Source organism: Homo sapiens, chromosome 5 (genome assembly GCF_000001405.40).
Source record: "Homo sapiens chromosome 5, GRCh38.p14 Primary Assembly".
In the NCBI taxonomy this organism is placed as follows: Eukaryota; Metazoa; Chordata; class Mammalia; order Primates; family Hominidae; genus Homo; species Homo sapiens.
The window spans coordinates 82,817,136-82,838,947 of NC_000005.10; the positions used below are offsets into that span (position 1 = coordinate 82,817,136).

General features: G+C 39.0%; 2 annotated features.

The window, feature by feature from the left end:
* Positions 881-1,040: an enhancer, noted in NCBI's record as "active region_22737". NCBI's record gives its function as "activates an Ori minimal core promoter by ATAC-STARR-seq in GM12878 lymphoblastoid cells {active_cell/tissue: GM12878}" and the evidence as "EXISTENCE:reporter gene assay evidence [ECO:0000049][PMID:35858748]".
* Positions 3,860-4,039: an enhancer, noted in NCBI's record as "active region_22738". NCBI's record gives its function as "activates an Ori minimal core promoter by ATAC-STARR-seq in GM12878 lymphoblastoid cells {active_cell/tissue: GM12878}" and the evidence as "EXISTENCE:reporter gene assay evidence [ECO:0000049][PMID:35858748]".

Below are 21,812 nucleotides of genomic sequence, written 5' to 3' on the forward strand. Positions count from 1 at the left end.
CACGAAGGTCCCTCGTGGATTCTTTTCCTTTAAGTTGTGACTTGGCACTTTGGTTTCGTCTGATTTGTTCTGTGACCTATGTACAAGCCATGTTTTTTTCAGTATTGGAAACGGGCTATTTTTTTGGTGATCACTTACACATGTTGCTGTTTTCCCTCTGTTTCTCTGCTTACTCCATTCTAAAATCCAACACATGATATGCTGAATTCAAATGGTTTTTGGAACCAGGTGAGAATTGAGCTTTGGTCTTATTTTTTTTTAATGGGCAGGTTTTTCCAGTGAAGGATTTTCAAGCTTTTTTCTTTTGAATTTTGCTCCTTTAAAATCCAGATGCTGTTTAAAATTAGTAGAAGGCATTTGAACTGTATGACTAAAAAAACCATAAACTGTTAGTATTCATGAATTATATATTTCTTTTAGAGATGAAGGCTCCCTATGTTGGCCAGGATGGTCTCGAACTGCTGACCACAGGTGATCCACCTGCCTCGGCCTCCCAAAGTGCTGGGATTACAAGTGTGAGCTACCATGCCTGGCCACTTAGTGACTTTTAAAAGAAAAGGATTTGGACCACAAGAAATTTATGCTATTGTAGAGCATTAATTAGTGAGGATATCTGAAATAAAGAAATCTCCTTCCATTCAAATTGGCTTGAACATAAGAGAAGGACCGTTATATATATTTCAGGCCGGTTTCAGTGATGGCTGCCAAAGTGGTCTAGAAAATCCTTGTATTAGTCCACTTTTATGCTGCTGATAAGGACATACTCGAGACTGGACAATTTACAAAAGAAAGAGGTTTAATGGACTTACAGTTCCACATGGCTGGGGAGGCCTCACAATCATGGTGGAAGGTGAAAGGCGTGTCTCACACGGTGGCAGACAAGAGAAGAGGGCTTGTGCAGGGAAATTCCCATTTTAAAAACCATCAGATCTCATGAGACCTATTCACTATCCTGAGAACAGCGTGGGAAAGACCCAGACTCATAATTCAGTGACCTCCCACAAGGCCCCTCCCACAACATGTGGGAATTCAAGATGAGATTTAGCCGGGGATACCACCAAACCATATTAGTCCTTAACTATATGGGACTATGGTAGAGATAATTGCAGAAAACAGAGACTTCTTAGTTTCCTGAGCCTGAGAGAAACCAGGAGAAGAGGGTCTTGAAGGTCTTTCTTGCCCATCCAATAAGCCATCTCTTTTCCACCAGAATCTATAAAGGGGCTAAAAGTCTAGCATTAAATGTTGAATCAAATTGTTAGTTTCAGTAAGAGTAAAAAGCCTTTCAAATCTCCTGGAAGTAACACTAGGTGATTCCCCTCCCCGACCCCTCACCTCCACGAACAGCAAAGTGTTAACCTCTCTGTGCTTCAGTTCCCTCATCTTTAAAGTCTCTGTAGCATGCCTCCTCATGACCTCCTACATACATAAACAAAAATGGCTAGACAAGCCCTGATTGTTTCACAAGCTATACAGCCTTGACTCTTCATCACAGGCTATTTCTATACAGCTAAAGGGAAATGGAGAATTGAAGCTAATGTGGAGAATTGACATCTCATGCTCAATTTTACTCTTGCAACATTCGGAGAATGACTATTTTTTGAAAACCTATTCAAGTGTGCTGGAACCAGGGCCTGGATAAATAAATTTTTAAAAATAGATCTAATATAGGTGATACTTAGGAGCTCATTTGCTTCAAAATTCTACTGCCTCGAATCCACTGAAACAACTTGTGCTAAGATCACTAGTATTTTCCTAATCCTCAAACTCAATGGATACTTTGCATTTATTATCTTAATTGAATTCTCTGGACCATATGGCATTGTGCAAATGTGGGTCGCTGTCTCCACGTTGAAACTCTTTTTCCTTTGCTGAGGTATTGTAGAATAGACTAGGGTACAGATTCTGGAATCAGATAAATTTAATTCCAACCTCACCACTTTCTAGTTGGTAGTCTTAGGGAAGTTACTTGAATTTCCTGTGCCTCAGTGTCCTCATCTTAAAAATGAATATAATATAACTTATTTTATAAGATTATTGTATTAGTTGATTTACCTTATGCACAATGCTTAAACAGAGCTCTTCCACATAGATGGCATTCAGTAAATATTAGCTTAATTATTCATAACACCATTTTCCTTCCTTATTTGGATCATTGTCTCACAGTCTCCTTCACTGTTACTAATTCCTCTGCCTAGCCTATAAAACCAGTGTCCTTGTCTCTTCTTGTTGTACATAATCACCTTAGATGATCTCTTTTACCTCAAACCTTCACGTACAATCATTAGGTGAAAGCTTCTTAAATCTCGGTGTCCAGCCAGACCTCTCTCTTGAGTGCTGAGCTCTCTCTCCAACTCTTTAATGCACAATTCACCCTTGGTTGCACCATCAATACCTCATATTTAGTATGTCCAAAGAGGAATGCACCAGCCCCTTTCCTGGAACTTCAGCCACCACAGATGACAGCATGCCCCTCAAAGCAATGTGGTAGGGAAATCAAGGTGTGGGTGTTTAGTGAATGGTGAGTGTTCTCCATCTCAGTTCCAGCAAACGGTGGCTGTGGACAGGCAAAGAGGCTTGATTCTGAGTAGGTAGAATTAGCTTAGATTTTTACAAAACTTACTTATAATTGGGAATTCTGTTCTGTAGTAAATAGAGAATTATTGAAAATGTATGATAGAACAGTTCCTAAAAAATATTGTCACATGTTTCTAGCTCTCATTTCCATGAGCTATAGACTTTACTGACATCAGGGATAATCTCCAGTCTCTTCCTTTGTATTCTATGTATCTCTGTCAAGAACAAAAAGTCTGTTGCTCTCGGTTACTCTATGAGTGGCCGGACAAGGTCCAATATATGAATATGAATCTTTTCCACAATAGAAACCCAAAAACCAGCTGACCTGACTTCATGCCTCTGAAATCTTTGGTGCAATCAGATAATCCATTTCCAGTTATTGGACATCAAGCTAGTCTGATAGCTGTTGTTTCATGGCCAGTTATGCTGTGCCATTTTAACTTATACATGGGAGGGTATTTTTCACAGATTTCCTGAGTTATGGTAGTGGTTTACTATCAGTCATCTCAATAGATAATAGGTTCCTGTTTCTTCCATCAATATATTCATGTAGAAAAAGTCCTGAGGCCAGGATCCAAAATGTATGTTCACTGGTGATAATTTAAGTAATCCTACAGAGTTGGCAGGGATGCCTGACAACTCATAGGAAATGGCCTCAAGGCATCTTTGCTTTGTCATCTAGTAAGAAAATGTAACACAAGTCATAGAAGGTGTCCTGCCCCAAACCATCACCATAGCACAGGGTATATTAGCACCAGGCAAAAGATTATAACCATTCTGAGTGGGAGTAACGACAGGCACAATCATAGTGAGGAAGAGTAATTTCTGACTGTTACATGCCTGACACACAGAATTTACTGAGGAGGAACACTGATATTCATACCACTTCATCCAACAACTATTATTTTAGCAACTACTATATACCAGACACTCTTCTATACACCAGGAATATACCAATCAACATGCAGACCAAAGTCCCCATGCTTATGTAACTCATACCCTATTGCACTGAGAAAGGTTTGAGACATGGGAGAAAGGTGGGTCGGAGATTTTTGCTTAGTTGTTTATTGAGACCAAGTTCCTTGATTGTACAACTATGCTCTAGTATTTTTTAAAAACAGAAAAAAGTAAAGAAAGACACTACACACACACACACATACACATATACAAATACACATAAATATATACCTATTTATGTATATATTCATGCATAATCATATATATAATTAACAATACCACTCCCCTCACCCCATATGTGTTTCTATGAGGAAGAAGGTATTCGTTCTCTCAGATGGTTTCACAGTTGAAAAGCAAAGCAGATGGCTCTTCTAGAGGAGGCAGCTTGCTTGCTAAAATGTCATGGATATACAGAAATAAAACCGAAAATGAAATGAAAGGCAAGAAAATATTCTCATTTGAATAATGAACTATCTGATGTTTCCTTAGAGCCACACAGCTCAGATAACAAAAAGAAACACTCTCAGACCCTTTGTTCTGCATTTACGACAAAACTCAAACCACATGTCTGTCATGTAATAAGCCACTCTGGATCATTTTTTGAAGAATAATAATCATTGTTTGATGGAACCACTTGTAAAACACAGAAGGCACCCCAGAGAAGCTGGCACTCATAGTAAACTATCCAAGGGATAATTTGTGGCAACAAATGATACACTGAATATTGCATTTAAACTTTAAAACAATTGTTCACACACAAAAGAAAACTAATGGCTGAGCTCTCGCTCCACCCCAGCTTCCTGTCACTGTTCATTTTTCAGTTTCCCCATGGTTGAAGGAAGCCCTTGGGACTTATGGCAGCAGATAGCTCAAAACGATGCCTGTAGAGCTTTTGTAATTATTATTATGTTAAACACATAATTTGGTTGCTTTGTTCTGTGAGTATATGTGCTTATTTCAGCCTCATAATAGTTGCCAGATTCAGCTGTGTGATTTGTATCCTGCAATAAAATGCACCGACCACAAGTTTGCCTTTCTGCACCCACGTTTCCACCAGCACTGTGCAAACCAACAATGCCCATTATTGTCTCGGGAGTTTTGCGTAGACCTGAAGTGACAAAGGGGAGTAACTTCAGACAAATCAACAGAATGTAATTACAGGTAAGGCGTTTGGCTTTACTCCCCCTAAAGGTCTTTGAGGCCTGGGATAAATTTTGACGCAACAGCAATTGGACTGGCTTTAAGATCAGTTGTTTACTTAAATCTATTACATCCAGATTTCACATGAGCCAAGAGACCCACCTGCAAAGCCTGACCAAAGTTTGCTGTCTTTCCAACTACCTCCTGGGACAGGAAAAATCCCCAGAAAAAGATTAAATGAAAGATACTAGAGATGTGACCTCCAGCACTGTCAGTGTGGACTAGAACCAAGTTGTTAAGGCCCCTGGGATCTCCATGATAGGAAAGAGGAGCCAACCATTGTATAAACCCTTCTGATTGCCGTCCCACCCTGGGATCCCTCCTCCTCAAGCTTATTCTGAGAACAAAGCAATTTGCCTGCTGCTTAGAAACAAATCACCCAGGTCTGAACAAACAAAGCAGACACTTCTTTTATGGAGGAGAAGTTGAGAGACCCTAAAAGTACTGTGAGTTAGAAAGGGAAGAGGTTTAAAAAATTGATGAAATTGTTTTCCCTTAAGAGTAATTTAACTGAATAGTGAGCGGCCAATTGTTAGGATTTGAAAACAATTCAGAAGCTATAGAAATCCTTTTGACTGTAACCTCCCTTACCCAGACCTTGGTCTCATGAGAAAGAAAACTTTCTTAGCTTAGAGTCATAGCAGATAATGCCTCCACTAAAGTTCCCAGTAAGGGCAGATGAATGAATCAACAGGAAGCAGCCAGCAGTGCTTTGTGCTTTGACAAATCCTGGCTTTCAAACTCAGGCCTCTCTCCTATATAGTGGAGAAATCAGATAATATATTGAAGAGGTGATCACAACTTAAATTATCAAGGAGGCGTAGACAGACATTGGGTGCCTCTGGTGCAACATCCTAAGAAGGACATGACGTCACCTAGGTAGTCTTCCAGCAGAACACAGAAAAACTAAATCTAATCATGAGGAAACGTCAGAAAAAAATCAGGAGCATTTTATTTAAAAAATTAGAAGCATTTTATTTAAAAGGGGAGAGAGGCTGGAGGTTTCACAAACGGTGATGTGATAAAAGTCATAGTCACTGAAAAGTTGAGGAACTCTTGCAGATTAAAGAAAATTAAAGAGATATGAAAACTAAATATAATATGTGATCGTAGAGTGGATTCCATATGGAGGGGGAAATGCTATAAAGAACATGATCAGATCATTGAGAAATTGATCTGGCGGGCTCAGGAGTGAAGCCGCAGACCTTCACGGTGAGTGTTACAGCTCATAAAGGCAGTGTGGACCCAAAGAGTGAGCAGCAGCAAGATTTATTGCAAACAGCAAAAGAACAAAGCTTCCACAGTGTGGAAGGGGACCCGAGCCGGTTGCCACTGCTGGCTCTGGCAGCCTGCTTTTATTCTCTTATCTGGCCCCACCCACATCCTGCTGATTGGTCCATTTTACAGAGAGCCGAGTGGTCCGTTTTGACAGGGTGCTGATTGGTGCGTTTACAATCCCTGAGCTAGATTGTATTTTTTGTACAGACAAGGTTTCACCATGTTGGCCAGGATGGTCTTGATCTCCTGACCTTGTGATCCACCTGCCTCGGCCTTCCAAAGTGCTGGGATTACAGGTGTGAGCCACCGTGCTTGGCCTTATAAATTTTTTTAAATGAACTCAGTAATACTATAATAGAGCATTTAGTAAATGTAAATCAATTTCTAAACTTAATAATTAAGCTTCCTTCAAGCCTGTGTCCTTATCCTGGACACCTCATTTCTCTGGGTCCTGGTTTCCTTACAGCAAAATGGAGATAATAAAGCTACTTTAACTTCTTCAAAGGTTTATATGAGATAATATATGCATCATCAGTGCCTACAGAAGCGTAGGGGAAATATATCTATATGGTTGCATGTATATATCAGTATAACTTTTTTACTGTAAGGGACTGAAAACAGAACTCAAAATAGTTTAAAGAGTAAACCATTCATATCTCATTCAACAGGGTGTTCCAAAACAGCACATTGTACAAGAATAAATATGCTAACCATACTCTTCTTCCTCCTTGCCATCTCCTGCCTGTGTTCCCCATTGGTTAAAGCCAACCAGAAGCCAGAGGGCAAGAAATCCATTGACACAGACCATATAGGTCAGCCTTTCAGGGAAAAGCAGGGTGAGAAAAGTGAGTGATGGGTATGAGGACTGAAGAGAAGATATTTGCTGTAAAGTGGTTTCAGCTTGGTTGACTGAATACGTGACTCAATGACATCAAGGTTCTAGATCCTTGCATTAATCAGTTGCCCACAGCTAAACCCTTCCCCCAAAATGGGGGAAAATATTCCTCTCAGTCTGAATGCCCAGTTTAGGTCTCATGCCCAGCCATAATCCAAGGAGTCCTTAGGTGAATGCAATGCTCTGATTGGCTTAAGCCGAGGTGCCAGAATCCATCATAGGCAAGGAAATGGGTGAGTTACCATGATAGGATTAGACTGTAGATTCAACCTCAAGGTCCACAATAAACATAAAGCACCCATCACAATTCCTGGTACAAAATGGTTACTTAATAAATCTTTTTACCCCTCCTTATTTAACAAGGCTCTGCAAAGTACTGTTCTTCATTCTGTGGACATTAAAATGCAATACATGATCTCTTCTTTTAGAGAGTTTACAATCCAGATGAAGAAAAAGAGGAATGTTAACAGAAAAATGTAAAATATAACCTGAGAATACAAGATGGCATGTTAAGTGCCCAACTAGTGGTATAGATATAGAGCATTTAGGATAGTGGTTTCCCAGATATGATCTATTGTGGACTGGTGAACAGAGTAAGTAATTCTAAGGGTTTGGGAATTCAAATGCTCACCCAGGATTGACCGTGGGCGCTAGGCTGTAGAGGCAAAGAATAGCATATACTGTAGTAAAATAAATATGCATCCCAAGCACACACACATGTGCATCTCAGTCATGAAGTGGCCTCTGTGGTCTCTTCTGCAAACTCCATGGCCTATCATCTCTGTCCCTGCCACCCATGATGGTGTGCCAGTGTTTACATCAGCCCACCAGCAGGAACACAGCAGCCATCTCTTCCAGTGGCTCATTCCTACTCATGCATGACTATTACAAATGCTCCTAGGCTCCACTTCCACCAACGGCTTCTGTGGAAGTGTTTAGTATTTGGGGATGCCATCCCCCTACCATCACCAGAGTCTCCCCACGGCTGGTCCTAATCACTGGTGAGCAAGCTTCTTTTTGAGAAATGTATACTCCCATTCATGGCCACAGTATTGGAGTCCTCAGAGCACTCAGGATCTCCTCAGGTTTCCAGCTGCATGTCCACCCATGACCTGTCTGGGGAAGCCTTGAGAAAGAGGCCTGACCCACTTCTGGAGGTCCTAGGCCCATCACAGCCCTAGACTGGGCAGGCTGCAATGAGCTGAAAGCAGTTGGGTTATTTTTACGTCAAAGAGCAAAATATCAAAGAGGAAGTTGAGAGCACTCCACTCTTCACTATCCAAGTCACACCCCAGCTTACCTGATATCCTGTAACAATTTGCCTCGCACCAAGAAGAAAACAAACTTCCAGCAGCTAGCAAAAAATAATAAAATGAAATAAAATATTTTAAAAAATAAAACGATACTAGTATTTGTAAAAATGTTTAGATACAAGCTAAAGTATTACTAAATTCATTGTAGCTTTTTGCTATTATACATTTCACTCAAAATTGAAAAAAGAACAGCCATTGTCATAACACAATATCAAAATGCTTTTGTCCTTATAAGATATCAAACTGGAAAAAGTTGAGTCCCACTGCTTTAAAAGTTCTTAAACTGGAAATGATCATTGCCCTTTTAACCTTTCCCTATGCCGGCATATGATCATATGAGAATCATTTGGGCTGCTTCATTCTCATGAGGCTGCTCTGTGGCCTATCCACCTTATGCTGGAGCTTGTCTTAAATCAAGTACTGAGGAAAGGAAGAGATGGTGGCTTGAAGGAGATATTTTCCCTTAAAAGATTCTGCTGCCACATCCTTCCTGCTCAGCTTCCACCCAGACCACTGGTCTGGCTCACAGAGTATCCCATCTTCTCTCTAGAACACAAAAACACCCTGTCGTATGTCTTGGGTTGGAGACTCACCTTGGCAAGGAACTATTTTCTGCCAACCAATCAAGAGCTATAAGTATAAAGTATCTGGGGAAAAATTTTATTTTCCCTAATTTCACATTCTCAAAAGAGCAAGGTAATGTTTTTCCTGTAGAGACAATATTCTCCCTATTTTATTGTTTCTAGAGGATTTGGAATTAGATAGATTTTTGTCTCAAATCTTGACTGTCACTTACTAGTTGCATGAGCTCAAGCCTTATTTTCCCCATCTGTAAAAATGGGAGATATATATACACACACTTATGATGAAGGATGTGAATTATTTATCTTTATATCATCAAATATATAATAAATACTCAGTAAAGTGTTGAGCACATGAAAGTAGAATAAACACACATATTCCTACATCCCAGCCAAGCTATACCATGCTCTTTTTAAAGTTGTAATAATGAGACCTTGAGTGGCAAATATGGCTGGGGTGGTTTTGAGTGATCCAGAGAAGACGTTCTTTTAGGCCGAAAATCTCCAGCTATTCTGTTCTTGATACACATCTCAAAGAGGTTCATACACAGATCCAAGGGGACGTGTACAAGGATATGCGTTACAGCATTATATGTGGTGGCAACGAGTTAGAACAACCTGGTTGTCTATCAAATAATAATGTGGTAGATAAACACCAGGTCTGTAGCTGTTAGAAACAACAGGTTCAATATACACATGGCAACACATGAATGTATCTCACAACCATGGTGCTTAGGGACAATAAGTAAAACACAAACCCATTTACATACAGTCATGCAAAGCAGCAACGCTCATTTTGCAAGAAAAGCACACTAACAAAAGATTCGCAATAAAAGCATTAGAGAATTTGACTACGGGATAGAGAAAAATGACTAACTGGAATGGAGATAAAAGGAAATAGATAAAGAAGGAAGGGGAGGCAAGAAAGAAAGAAGGGAGGTAGGGAGGGAAGCAGATCCTTTGCTCTCAACAATGATTATTATGTGCCATGAACTGTGGACTGAAAGGTATAATTAATTGTTCCTTCTGCATTTAGGTCAGAAAAGAAGAAAGAAAGAAAAAGAAAGTAAGCCTGTGGAATAGTTCTCAAATATTTTCCCTTCCCTCACAGAGGTCCAATAGACTTCCATCAGGACCCTGATCCTCCAGGGCCTGGAGGAGAGGAGAACAGGAGGAAGGTGCGGGTTCTAGGGTTCTAGAGCAGAGATTCTCAACATTGTGCTCTGAGAACCACCTGTATCAGGTACACTGGAGGCTCTGGTTTATGTGCAGGTTAATGAGTGCCATCCCAAACCTACAAATCAGAACCTCTGGAGGAGAGGCCTGGGAATGCATTTTGACAAACTCCTTAGAAGATTCTCTGTCACCTGAAGTTTGAGGACCACTGCTGTAGAAGTATACCTCATTCATCTACTTAAATCAGACTGAGTCTTTTCTTAAGCTGAATTCAGATACATATCTTTCTGCCCATTTTTTGCTTTTATTATTATTTTTCATTGACACAATAATTGCACATATTAATGGAGTTCAGTGTAATATTTCAATACATGTATACAATGTGTAATGATCAAATCAGGCAAATTACCATATTCATCATCTTAAACACCTGTCATTCATTTGTGTTGGGAACATTCAAAATCTGCTCTTCTAGGTATTTAAAAATATACAGTAAATTATTATTAATTATATTCACTACAGAACACTAGCGCTACAGCGCTATAGAACACTAGAACTTATTCCTTCTATATAGCTATAATTGCTTTCTGTTAACCAACCTCTGGCTATGTGCCCCACGCCCCTTCCCTAGTAACCACAATTCTACTCTCTACTTCTCCGAAATCAACTTTTTTAGCTCCCACATATGAGTGAGAACATGCGGTACTTGTCTTTCTGTGCCTGGCTTATTTCACTTAACATAATGTCCCCCAAGCACATCCATGTTGCCAGATACATTTTTATAAACTGATTTGTGTTGCCTAGCTTCAGGCTGCGAACCTCTCAAGTAAGTAGTCATAGAAGCCATCTCCTTTCATTTTTTAACTTATTTGTGTCAGGCAAGATGGAAAAAAGAGGAAAAATCAGGCTTCTTGATCAGATGTTATAAAAACAGTGTACCATTCCTTTATACACAAAAGTAAAAAGCAAATTCAAGAAATTAGTTTGCATTGGCACTTCTTGGGTGCTTTAAATCACTTGACAATGGGAACTGAACATCAGTGAGCTGGTATCTGCTATAATTACACCTACTGTTGCATGTTATTTCTTCTTCCATGGAACATATGGCAACTTTCCAGAAACTTTGTTCTGTTATTATACTGTAATATTCTTCAATGCAGGGGGAAAGAGTATTTTTAAATTTTTTCCCTTTCCTTTGAAATTATTTCCCATGCCTTTCATGGACCTTGGTAATGTTCCAAAACTTTTCTAATCAATAAAACATTGTAAGCTGTCAGAATGGATTTTCTTCGCTAGAATTTATATGGCACTACACATTTAATATCTGTTCTACATAAATCGTTTTTTGGCATTATTTTCTTGTTTCTTGAGAGTCTTTTTTTTCCAGACCTATTGAATTATCTCCAATTTTAAAGGCTTTATTAAAGTAGCTCTAGAGTTCCATTTCCGGAAACACTGAACAGCAAAATCTTTTTGACAATTTGCTATCATGTTACTTAGAGACTGAGACTCATTCCATTTGCAAAGTGTCTAAAAAGAGGGTATTAGACATTTGAGGAGGATGAACTGCTTTGATCAAACTGGTTAGTACATTCAGTCATATAACCATTGAATTCTGGTAGCAAGCTTGATGATTGGGGAATTGTTTTTTGTTCCTTTAGTATATTGAGTGGTTGCCTTAATGAATTTACGAAAACACTGGGGTTTTTTTTGGTTGCTTGTTTTTTGTTATTGCCTCATTGTAGTCCATAACCATAAAAATAACCTCTTATTGAACACAAAAATGAAGCTTAACATTGAACAGTAATGGCAACTCAATAATAAAGCAAATTAAAATGGAAAAAATCTACTCTGATATGTACCAAATAAAATATTATTCTTTATCTAATGTCTTCTTAGCTGTGCAATTACAATTATGATTCAAGTTCTATACTGTGATATTTCAGCATTATAATAGTTTTGTGTTTTATTGTTTTTTTTTCAAGAACATACGTTGAAAAATATATGCAGAATTACATATATTATTTGCATTTATTAATACTGACCAACCAGTGGGAAGATATGGTAATGGATATGTACTGAAGTTTAAACCACTTACCTTTGTGCTATTCCTGTATTGTAATATGGAAATGAAAAAAAAGGAAATAAATGTTAAAGACTATGTGATGGCCTAAGAATAATAGAGACCAGCCAGGTCAGTGCTCATGAGTGAGTGAAAATATTGGTATTTTGCAAGATGATTCTTTCTGTTAATTTGTTTCTAGGGCTAAATGGCACTATATAAATACATTGAAGTTAGAATGCTGACAGAGTGAAAATGTTTTGCTTTCTGAGAATGCCACAGACTATTTCTGAAACATTTAAACTTTGGCATTAACTAAATACATTTTCCAAGCACCTTTCTTCTATTTGAAAATATGACTACATATAGTCCGTATGTTTCTGATTCATTTGCAACTAATTTATCAAAATTGGCAAGACTTATTTGCTAACCACAAGGTCTAGGAAGCCAGTTTTTTATGTGTGTGTTTTTTTAAAGGTATTCTTAAATTTTCCATTTGGACCACTCAGTTAATTCAGAGGAGATTCAAACTCTGATTATGAGAGTTTCTTAAAAAACAGAGAAGCTGTTGAGTGTTTCCTTTCACTCTATTTTTTCTATCTGATCTATTTTGCCAACCTGAGAGACCCTTTTTTCCTTTAGATGCCCTATTCTCAAGGTAAGTGGAACATGTTCATTGATAATATTAGTAATAACAAATTCAAAAAATATTTATTCTGGATAATGCTTCCATTCCCCATGGATCTTATATTCTAACAGAAAAAAAGTTATTATTAATAGAAGTCAACTGGCTGGGCATGGTGGCAGACGCCTGTAATCCCAGAACTTTGGGATGCCGAGGCAGGTGGATCCCTTGAGGTCAGGAGTTCAAGACCAGCCTGATCAACATGGCGAAACCCCATCTCTACTAAAAATACAAAATTAGCTGGGCATGGTGGCGCATGACTGTAATCTCAGCTACTCGGGATGCTGAGGCAGGAGTTTTGCTTGAACCTGGGAAGTGGAGGTTGCAGTGAGCCAAGATCATGCCATTGCACTCCAGTGTGGGCAACAAGAGCAAAACTCCATCTCAAAAAAAAAAAAAACAAACAAAAAAAAACAGAAAAAAAAAGAAGTCAACTGTATAATACATTCAGTGCATTTACTTTTAGTTTCTTTCATACTTAACTGACACTGTGTTTCAGGACACGTCTTTTACGTAAACTTTCCCCTGAAGACCCAATACAGAGACCGAACCTGCACATTAGCAATTAAACACTTGAATATCTACACATCAATCTATCTGTTAATTAATCAGTTAAATATTGCAGTTGTATTTCTCGTATTATCCAATCTCCCAAATGCACCTAATCATAAACTTACCTGGGCATTTATTTAACACACAGAATCCCAGGTCCCTGCTCTGGAGGCTGGGGACTGTGCATGTTTAAATAATACCTCAAAGTAATTCTTAGCAATCTGGAACCCATAGACACCGTGCTGGCTAATTATACTTTCTGTTACACAGAGTTCTCATATGACCCTGATTTCAGGTCATTTTCATCTTTTCAACAATGATAATGTTTTCAATGTGCAATTATATGTGACAACATTTAAACATCATAAGACCTTTCCTGCTAATATATTTACCAACAGAAAAATTTTCTGTCACACTACTTGTCATAATTTTTCCTTCAGAAAAAGGATCTTTATAATATTAAGTGTGGTCTCTTTCCTTAAGAAGATTGAATGTGCTGTTTAGAAAGGAGACAGCAAATGATGGTGACAGCCACAACCTATTTTTGGGAATTTTGGGGCAGGTCATTTAATCTATTTGAAGTTTATCTGGATTTTAAGGAAAATATCAAAATTGGAAATAAGTTTTATATTATTTGAAGGCAAAGCAACTCTTTATGTCATTGCTTTGATTTTTTTTGTCAAAATATTTTATTTTTATTTTAGGTTACACCACAAAAAGGGTTAAATGTATATATTTACATTTATGAAATGGAGCATGGATTAAAACAGATTGAAAAGTATTAGTTTAAAAGGTGTATTCATTTTCTATCGTCATAGCTAATTACCACAAATGTTAATTAATGTTAACAAATGTTAATTAATCAGTTAAATATTTCAAAGAACACACACTTATAGTTTCTGTGAGTCAGAAATCTGGGCACAATTTAGTTGGGTCTTCTGGTCAAATACTAACCAAAACCTCAATGAGATCTCATAAGGCTGCATACAATGTATTGGTTTGATTTGAAGACTTGGCTAGGGAAGAATCTACTTCCAAGCTCATTCCGGTTGTTGGGATAATTACTTTCTTTGTGGTTGTGTGACTGAGAAGTCCTTGCTTCTTATTGGCTGTCAGCTGAAGACTGCCTACAGTTCCCAGCCCTCTCAATAGGCAGCTCATACCATGGCTGTTTGCTTCTTCAAGATCAGCAGGAGAATATCTCTCTCCAGTCCACTAAGACAGGGTCTTACATAACAAGACAATTACAGGGGTGCTATCCCATCACCTCTGCTATATCGTATTGGTTAAAGGCAGATCTCAGTTTCCATCACTCAAGGGGAAGGCACGATATACTAGGGCTGTGAATCATTAGCGATGACCCTAGGGCATAATTGGACTTCATCAAAATAAAAACTTTGGTGCCTCAGAGGACACTACCAAGAAAGCAAAAAGACAGCCTACAAAATGGGAGACAACATTTACAAATCTTGCGTCTGATAAGTCCTTTATATAGTCTACTTTCTAGAATATATAAAGGACTCGTCCAACTCAAAAACAAAAAGACAATCCAGTTGAAAATGGGCAGAGAATGTGAATAAACAGTTCTCCAGAGAAGATATACAAATGGCCAATGAACACATGAAAAGATACTCAGCATCATTAGTCATTAGAGAAATGCTACTCAAAACCTCGATGAGATACCACTTTACACCCACTAGGATGCCTACAATAAAAAAGACAGACAAAACAAGTGTTAATGAGGATGTGGAGTTGGAACCCTTATATAGTACTGGACTCCCTCCTTGGTCAAACTTTAGCCAGCCTCCTCTTAGGCCTCTTCTCTATTAGGCATTATTGTTAACCTGCTCTCCTTGCTGTGCTGAGCCCGCTTTAGCAAAAATTGTGCCAAGCCAGTTTAACTAGAATCACGCACCCTTGGTGTCCAACCAGGTTCCTCTTGGTACTCTTCCATCCACAGACTCCCTCACTCTGCCCATTGCTATAAATCTCCAGCTGCCCCTGTTGTACTCAAAGTTCAGTTCAATTTCTCTTATTGCAATAGTCTTGAATAAAGCATTTCTTGCCTGTTTAATTCTATTCAATGCAATAGATTTATCATTGCATTACAAATGCATTTTTACCATCTAATATAATTTTTTGTAACGCTAGTGAGAATTTTAAATCAAACAGCTACTTTAGAAAGCAGTTTAGCACTTTCTCAAGTGGTTAAACATAGAGTTACTCAGCAATTCCACTCTTACGTATATACTCAAGAGAATTGAAAACATATGTTCACACAAAAACTTGCATGTGAATATTCATAGAATAATTATTCATAATAGCCAAAAAGTGAAAACAACTCAAATCAACTAATGAATGGATAATCAAAATGTCCATAAATAACCATAAATGGAATATTATTCATCCATAAAAATAAATAGTACTGATATATGCTAAAACATGGATGACTATGAAAACATTATGGTTAGTGAAAGAAGCCAGACATAAAAGGCCATATATTGTATAATTCCATTTCTATGAAATGCCCAGAAGAGGATAATCCATAGAGACAGATAAGAAATTGGTGGTTGGCAGAGCTGGGGGAAGACAGAAATTGAGAGGCACTGCTCAGGGGTATTATAATAGATTTATTTTTGCGGTGATGACAATGTTCTGGAATTAGATAGTGGTGATAGTTACATGACCTTGTGAATACACTGAAGGCCCCAGCATTTTACACTTTAAGAGTGAGAATTTTATGGTATGTGAATTTTATTTTAATCTGTTAGAAGTGTAGGGGCCAAGGGAAAACTTTCTTTTTACCCTCTGAAGTTTCACTGAAAATCAACTGAAAGATGGCATATTCATAAGAGAAGACATACCAAATTTGTTAATGTGCACCGAAGAGTCATACAAAATAGGAAAACACAAAGAGAGGGCCAGATGGTTGATACTTTTATATCATCTTGAAGTTACAGAAAGAACAGGGGCTTGGAGCATGGCAAGGCAAGTTATGGGAGGAAGAGAGAAAAAAGTCATGGGGCAAAGGCAGTCTTGCGATGCAGATGAAACCTCACATGTAGCAGCTCTCAGAAAGAATAGACAGTAGCCTGCGGTTGAGTTAACCTTTTCAAGATCTGGATGCACCAATGCAGATTTTCTCTACAGATGCAAATCTCCTCCCTGCAAAAGTATCTTTTTAGCTATTCTGTGTTTCTTGCCACTGTGAATAGTTATCTTGAAATATGTCAAAGAAGTATATTTTGGGGTAAAATATTTTGGGGTGGTTCATTTAAAAGTATACAAAAAAAAAAAAAAAACAGTGAAAAGGCATCATTTTCTAAGTGAACTTACTCCATTGTATGTTTGTGTGGTGTGTGACTTTTAAAGATTAATTTTAATTATAATGCTAAAATATAGAATAAGAAGTGTTAATATTTCTAAACAAGTACAACATCAAAGTTAGTTATCTTTGCTCAAGCACTAAACCTAACATTGCAGTAAGCTTTTAAGGATTCATCATTCCCAAATAGTCAATAGTAAAGGGAACAGTAACTAATGTGTAATGAATAAAGCAGTTCTGTAGCACATTGTCAAATATATATGTATTTTCTCAGGTATATAACTTATCTCTCTTGTGCTTCTCAGAAGGTTTGTGTTATCCAGTGGGGAAGGAGGCAGGGTGGAAGGAGCAGAGAGGGGAAGAGAGGAAAAAAGAAAAGAAGAGGAGAAGAAATAGTCATTAAAGCTCATCCCTGATTTCTACCTTAGGGCTTTCAAGATATTGCTGTTTTTCTCCAGCACCTAATTGAGATTAAGCATTTAGGCTGCAAAGCATTCTGTAAATTATTTTGCAATATTAATTTGTACTGGTTGAGCTGCATATCCAAGAGTTGGGAAGGAGACCACAAAACCCAGAGAGAAATAAACTGCTTTGCACAAGAAAGAAACAGGAAATTCATGGGTGAGGGGCACACAGTTAAAAACAGCTTAAAGAGAAGAGGGAGAACCTATGGAATAAGCAGAATCCTGGTAAAATAGTGAAACATCTGGCTCTGCCTGAGGTATTGGAAAGCAGAGGGACTTTTTATTAATGTAAATACCTAATGTAAGTTTAAATCACTTGCTGAGTGGTACTACAATTAACATCACTTTGGCAGACTTCAAAAACAAGTGATGTTATTTTGCAATACTAATATTATAATCATGAAGTTTAAACCACTTATATCTTTATAAGAAGACTAAAAAACAAAACTGTGAAAAATAATAGCTACAACAATTTGTTAAGAGACAGGCCATACAAAAATGCAAATTGTGACATCAAAAATTCAAAATGTTGGGGAGAAGGCAGTTAATGTGTGCAGTTTTTTGTTTGTTTGTCTCTTTTTTTGCAATCAAAGTTAAATTCTCCCATTAAAAGACAGAGTGGCCGAATGTATTAAAAAACAACAGCCAATTATATGCTGCCTACAAGAAACTCACTTCACCTACAAAGACATACATAGATTGAAAGTGAAGGGATAGAAAAAGAAATAAATCAAAGGCAAGTTATTTGCTTCCAAGATTCAATGATGGAACAGACATTGGTAAATATTCCCATTCCAAAAGGAAAAAATCAGCCAAAATGGTGGGTAACAGGGCCCACGCAAGTATGGAACCCAGCAGAGCAAATATTACAGTTTAAAACTCTAAAATAATCCCTCTTGACTGCACATTCTGTATCCAGGGCACACTGGTGAGAAGAGTGGGCACCCAAGGCCTTGAGCAGCCCTGTTTCCATGGCTTTGCTAGATGCAGCCTACATGGTAGTTCTCACAGGTTGGAGTTAAATGCCTTTGGCTTTTCCAGACTGAAGGTGCACATTGCCAGTGGCTATATAACTCTGGGGTTTGGAAGGTAGTGGTCCCGCTCCCACAACTTCACTAGACAGTTCCCCAGTGGGATTCTGCGAGGGCTCCAATCCCATATTTCTGCTCAGCATTGTCCTAGTAGTCTTGCCATGGGGACTCTCCACCAGAGTAGTCTCTCTTGTGGTAGTCTTCTGCCTGAGCACCCAGGCTTTCTGCTATATCCTCTGAAATCTAGGTGGCAGGTGCCAATTCTCCACCACCACTCCTGCATTCTGCACACCTACAGACCTAACACAACATGGAAGCTGCCAAGGCTTATGGCTTGTGCCCTTTGTAGCAGTGGCTCCAGTGGTACCTGGGGCTATTTGAGCTGTGTCTGGAGGCAGAGTGGCCAGGATGAGGAGAGCAGAATGCCCAGGTGGCAAAGGATGGCAGCACCCTGGGCCTGGCCCTTGAAACCATTCTGTCTTCCTAGGCCTCTGGGCCTGTGATGGGAGGCTCAGCCTTGAAATTTTCAGAAATGCTTTTGGGAACTTTTCCCCATTGTCTTGACTATTAGCACCTGCCTGCCTTATATCTCTGCTAATCTCTCTAGCAAGTGCTTGCTTCCCAATACCCTAGGACTTCTATCTTGAAAATGCTCTTTTCTCCTCTAACACATGGCCAGGATGTGAATTTTCTGAATTTTTCCACTCTGTTTGCTTTTTCTCTACCAGTTTACCATAAGCAGTTAGAAGTAACCACACAGCAGCCTGAGCGCTTTGCTGCTCAGAAATGTCTTCTGTCAGATACTTTAGTCATCAATCTTAAGTTCAGCCTTCCACAAAGCCCTAGGGCATGCACACAATGTAGTCAAGTTCTTCGCTAGATGTAAAAAGGGTGATAGCTGCAGTTCCCAGTAAGTTCCTCATTTCCATTTGAGACCTCATCAACGGCCTTTCCTGACCGTATTTCTATAAGCATTTTGATCACAACCACTTAACTAATCTCTAAAAAGTTCCAAACTTTCTCTCAAATTCTTATCTTTTTCTGAGCCCTCCAAATTCTTCCCATCTCTACCCATTACCCAGTTCAAAAGCCTCTTCTGCATTTTCAGGTATCTTTAGTGTAACACTCCACCTCTGGATACCAATTTTTTGTCTTAGTCTGTGTTGCTGTAAAGGAATACCTGAGACTGGGTAATTTATAAAGAAAAGAGGTTTATTTAGCTCACAGTTCTGCAGGCTGCACAAGAAGCATGGTGAGAACATCTGCTTCTGATGAGGGCCTCAAGAAGCTTCCAATCATGGTGGAAAGTGAAGGGGAGCCAACATGTGCAGATCACATGGTGAGAGAGGAGGCAAGTGAGAGGAGGAGGTGCCAGGCTGTTTTCAACAACCATTTCTCAGGGGAACTCTCATGGAAACTAATATAGTGAGAGCTCAGTACCACAAGGATGACACCATGCCATTCATGAGGGATCTACCCCCATGACCCAAACATTCCCATTAGGCTCTACCTCTAACTTTGGCATCAAATTTTAACATGCAGTCTGAAGGGTCAAATATCCAAACTATAGTCAGATAGATCAATAGATGAAAAAATTGGAAAATGGCCTAATAGCAAAGTTGTAATTTCATATTGTAAGCAATAGATGAGGGTAGCAGGTGGGGAGTGCATCTTGTCTTAGTCTGCTCAGGCTGCCATAACAAAATAGCAAACACCAGTATTTTTTACTTAAACAACAGATATTTATTTCTCACAGTTTTGGAGGCTGGGAAATCTGAGATCAAGGTGCTGATAAATTTGATTCTTGGTGAGGGTCCAATTCCTGGCTTGCACATGGTAATCTTCTCACAGTATCCTCACCTGATGAAGAGAAGACACCCTGGTGTCTCTTTTTCTCTTGTAAGGGCATTAATGCCATCACTAGGGGCTCCACCCTCATGGTATTATCTAAACCTAGCTATCTCTCAAAGGCCTCAATTTCTAATGCCATCACATTGGAGATTAGGGCATCAAAATATGGATGTGGGGGGCACACAAATGTTCAGTCTGTAAGATGGCTGGTGAGTTGGCCATGTCTTGTTAGAGTAATAGTTGACTATCCAGAATAGTTACCCTGTAGACAATTGCGTGCACCATCATAGTACTCAGCAAAGACTTACCTAAGTTCAGGATTTGGGTTTTTTAAGTCATCAACCTAAAGATCATGGTTTAAACCAAAGATGTACCTAAGGTGACACATGTAGACAGTATAAAGTGAACAAAGAAGAGGGCCAAAACCCCTGGATACTCCAAGGGACACAGAGAGAAAGGAATCTGCTTAGGAAACTAGAAGATTCTGTTAGAAAAGGAGGAGAAAGGGAATGTGGAATCAAAGAAGCGAGAGGAGTCAAAGATCAGGGAAGGGCTGAAAGATTAGCATGCAGCCACAGTCCTTCCTATTCGCCAACTATTTTGCTTACAATTTTGTTATCTGATCATTCCAGATGCTAGTAACCTGATGATAGAAAAATGCAAAAGTATCTTGACTCAGCCTGTTTTCAGTTCAGACTTTGCTACTTTTTGTGTCACTGTCAGAGGTGTTGGAACCAGAGCGACTCTATTTTGAGTGAGGGCTAGGAAAATGAGGCTGGGATTTGCTGGGCTGCATTTCCAGAAGGTTAGTCATTCCTAGCCTCTAGATGTCTATGGTTAAGGGAACAAATTAATAATGTTTGCTAAACAGACCCAGACTTGGGCATGTCCAGATATCCCGATATCTGGAGAACAAAGGCATTCCTAATTTTGCTTTAAAGATAATAATATTGATTCTTGCAAAATATAGTAATCAAGCAAATTAATCCTTTATCACAAATCCTTGTAGCAGAGCACATCTCCCCATATATACAAGTATTGTACTTAGGGTGGATGTGTTTCTCTTCTTACTTTCAGGAACATCCTACTCTGTCTATGGAGTAGACATTCTTTCACCACTTTACTCGCTTAATAAACTTGCTTTTACTTTGCACTGCGGACTCGCCCTGAATTCTTTCTTGCACGAGATCCAAGAACCCTCTCTTGGGGTCTGGATCCGGACCCCTTTCCTATAACATCTTTCTGGCAAAACCTAAAGGGACTACAGTGAGGAAACCTTTGACCCAAAGGCTAACTTTGGGTAAGTGGTGGGGTCCTGTAACATCTTTCTGGTGACACAGAAGGGACTATAGAGCAGAAACCCTGACCCAATGGCTACCTTTGGGTAAGTGCTGGGGTCCTGTAACATCACCATCAGCAAATCATTTAGCCCTTCAGGAATGCAGTGTTGTCACCTACAAATGGAAATATTTCTAGCCACATCTTCTCCTTCACAGGGTTGTTGTGAATATTGGGTAAAATCATACTGTGCAAAGTGATAATATTTCAAAAGTCTCCTGCTAAGCTGCAATACCTCAACTGAGAAGGGCTTATTATCACCCATAATCACATTCATGGATGACTAATTCTCATCAGCTTTCTCTCGGAGATGGAACATAAGCTCAAGTGATCTCAGGAAATGTCCATAGCAGGAAACACAAAGCTGGACATCAGAAGGACGCTGAGAAGACAGATGACAACAAAGGACAGGGGGTGTTGAAGAGGAAACTTGTCCAGGACCAGAATTACTGGGAACATGAATTTACAGCATTCCAAAGTCCTTACAGTTTAATGAAAGGAGAGGCAGTCCTTTGAACTCAAGTTTT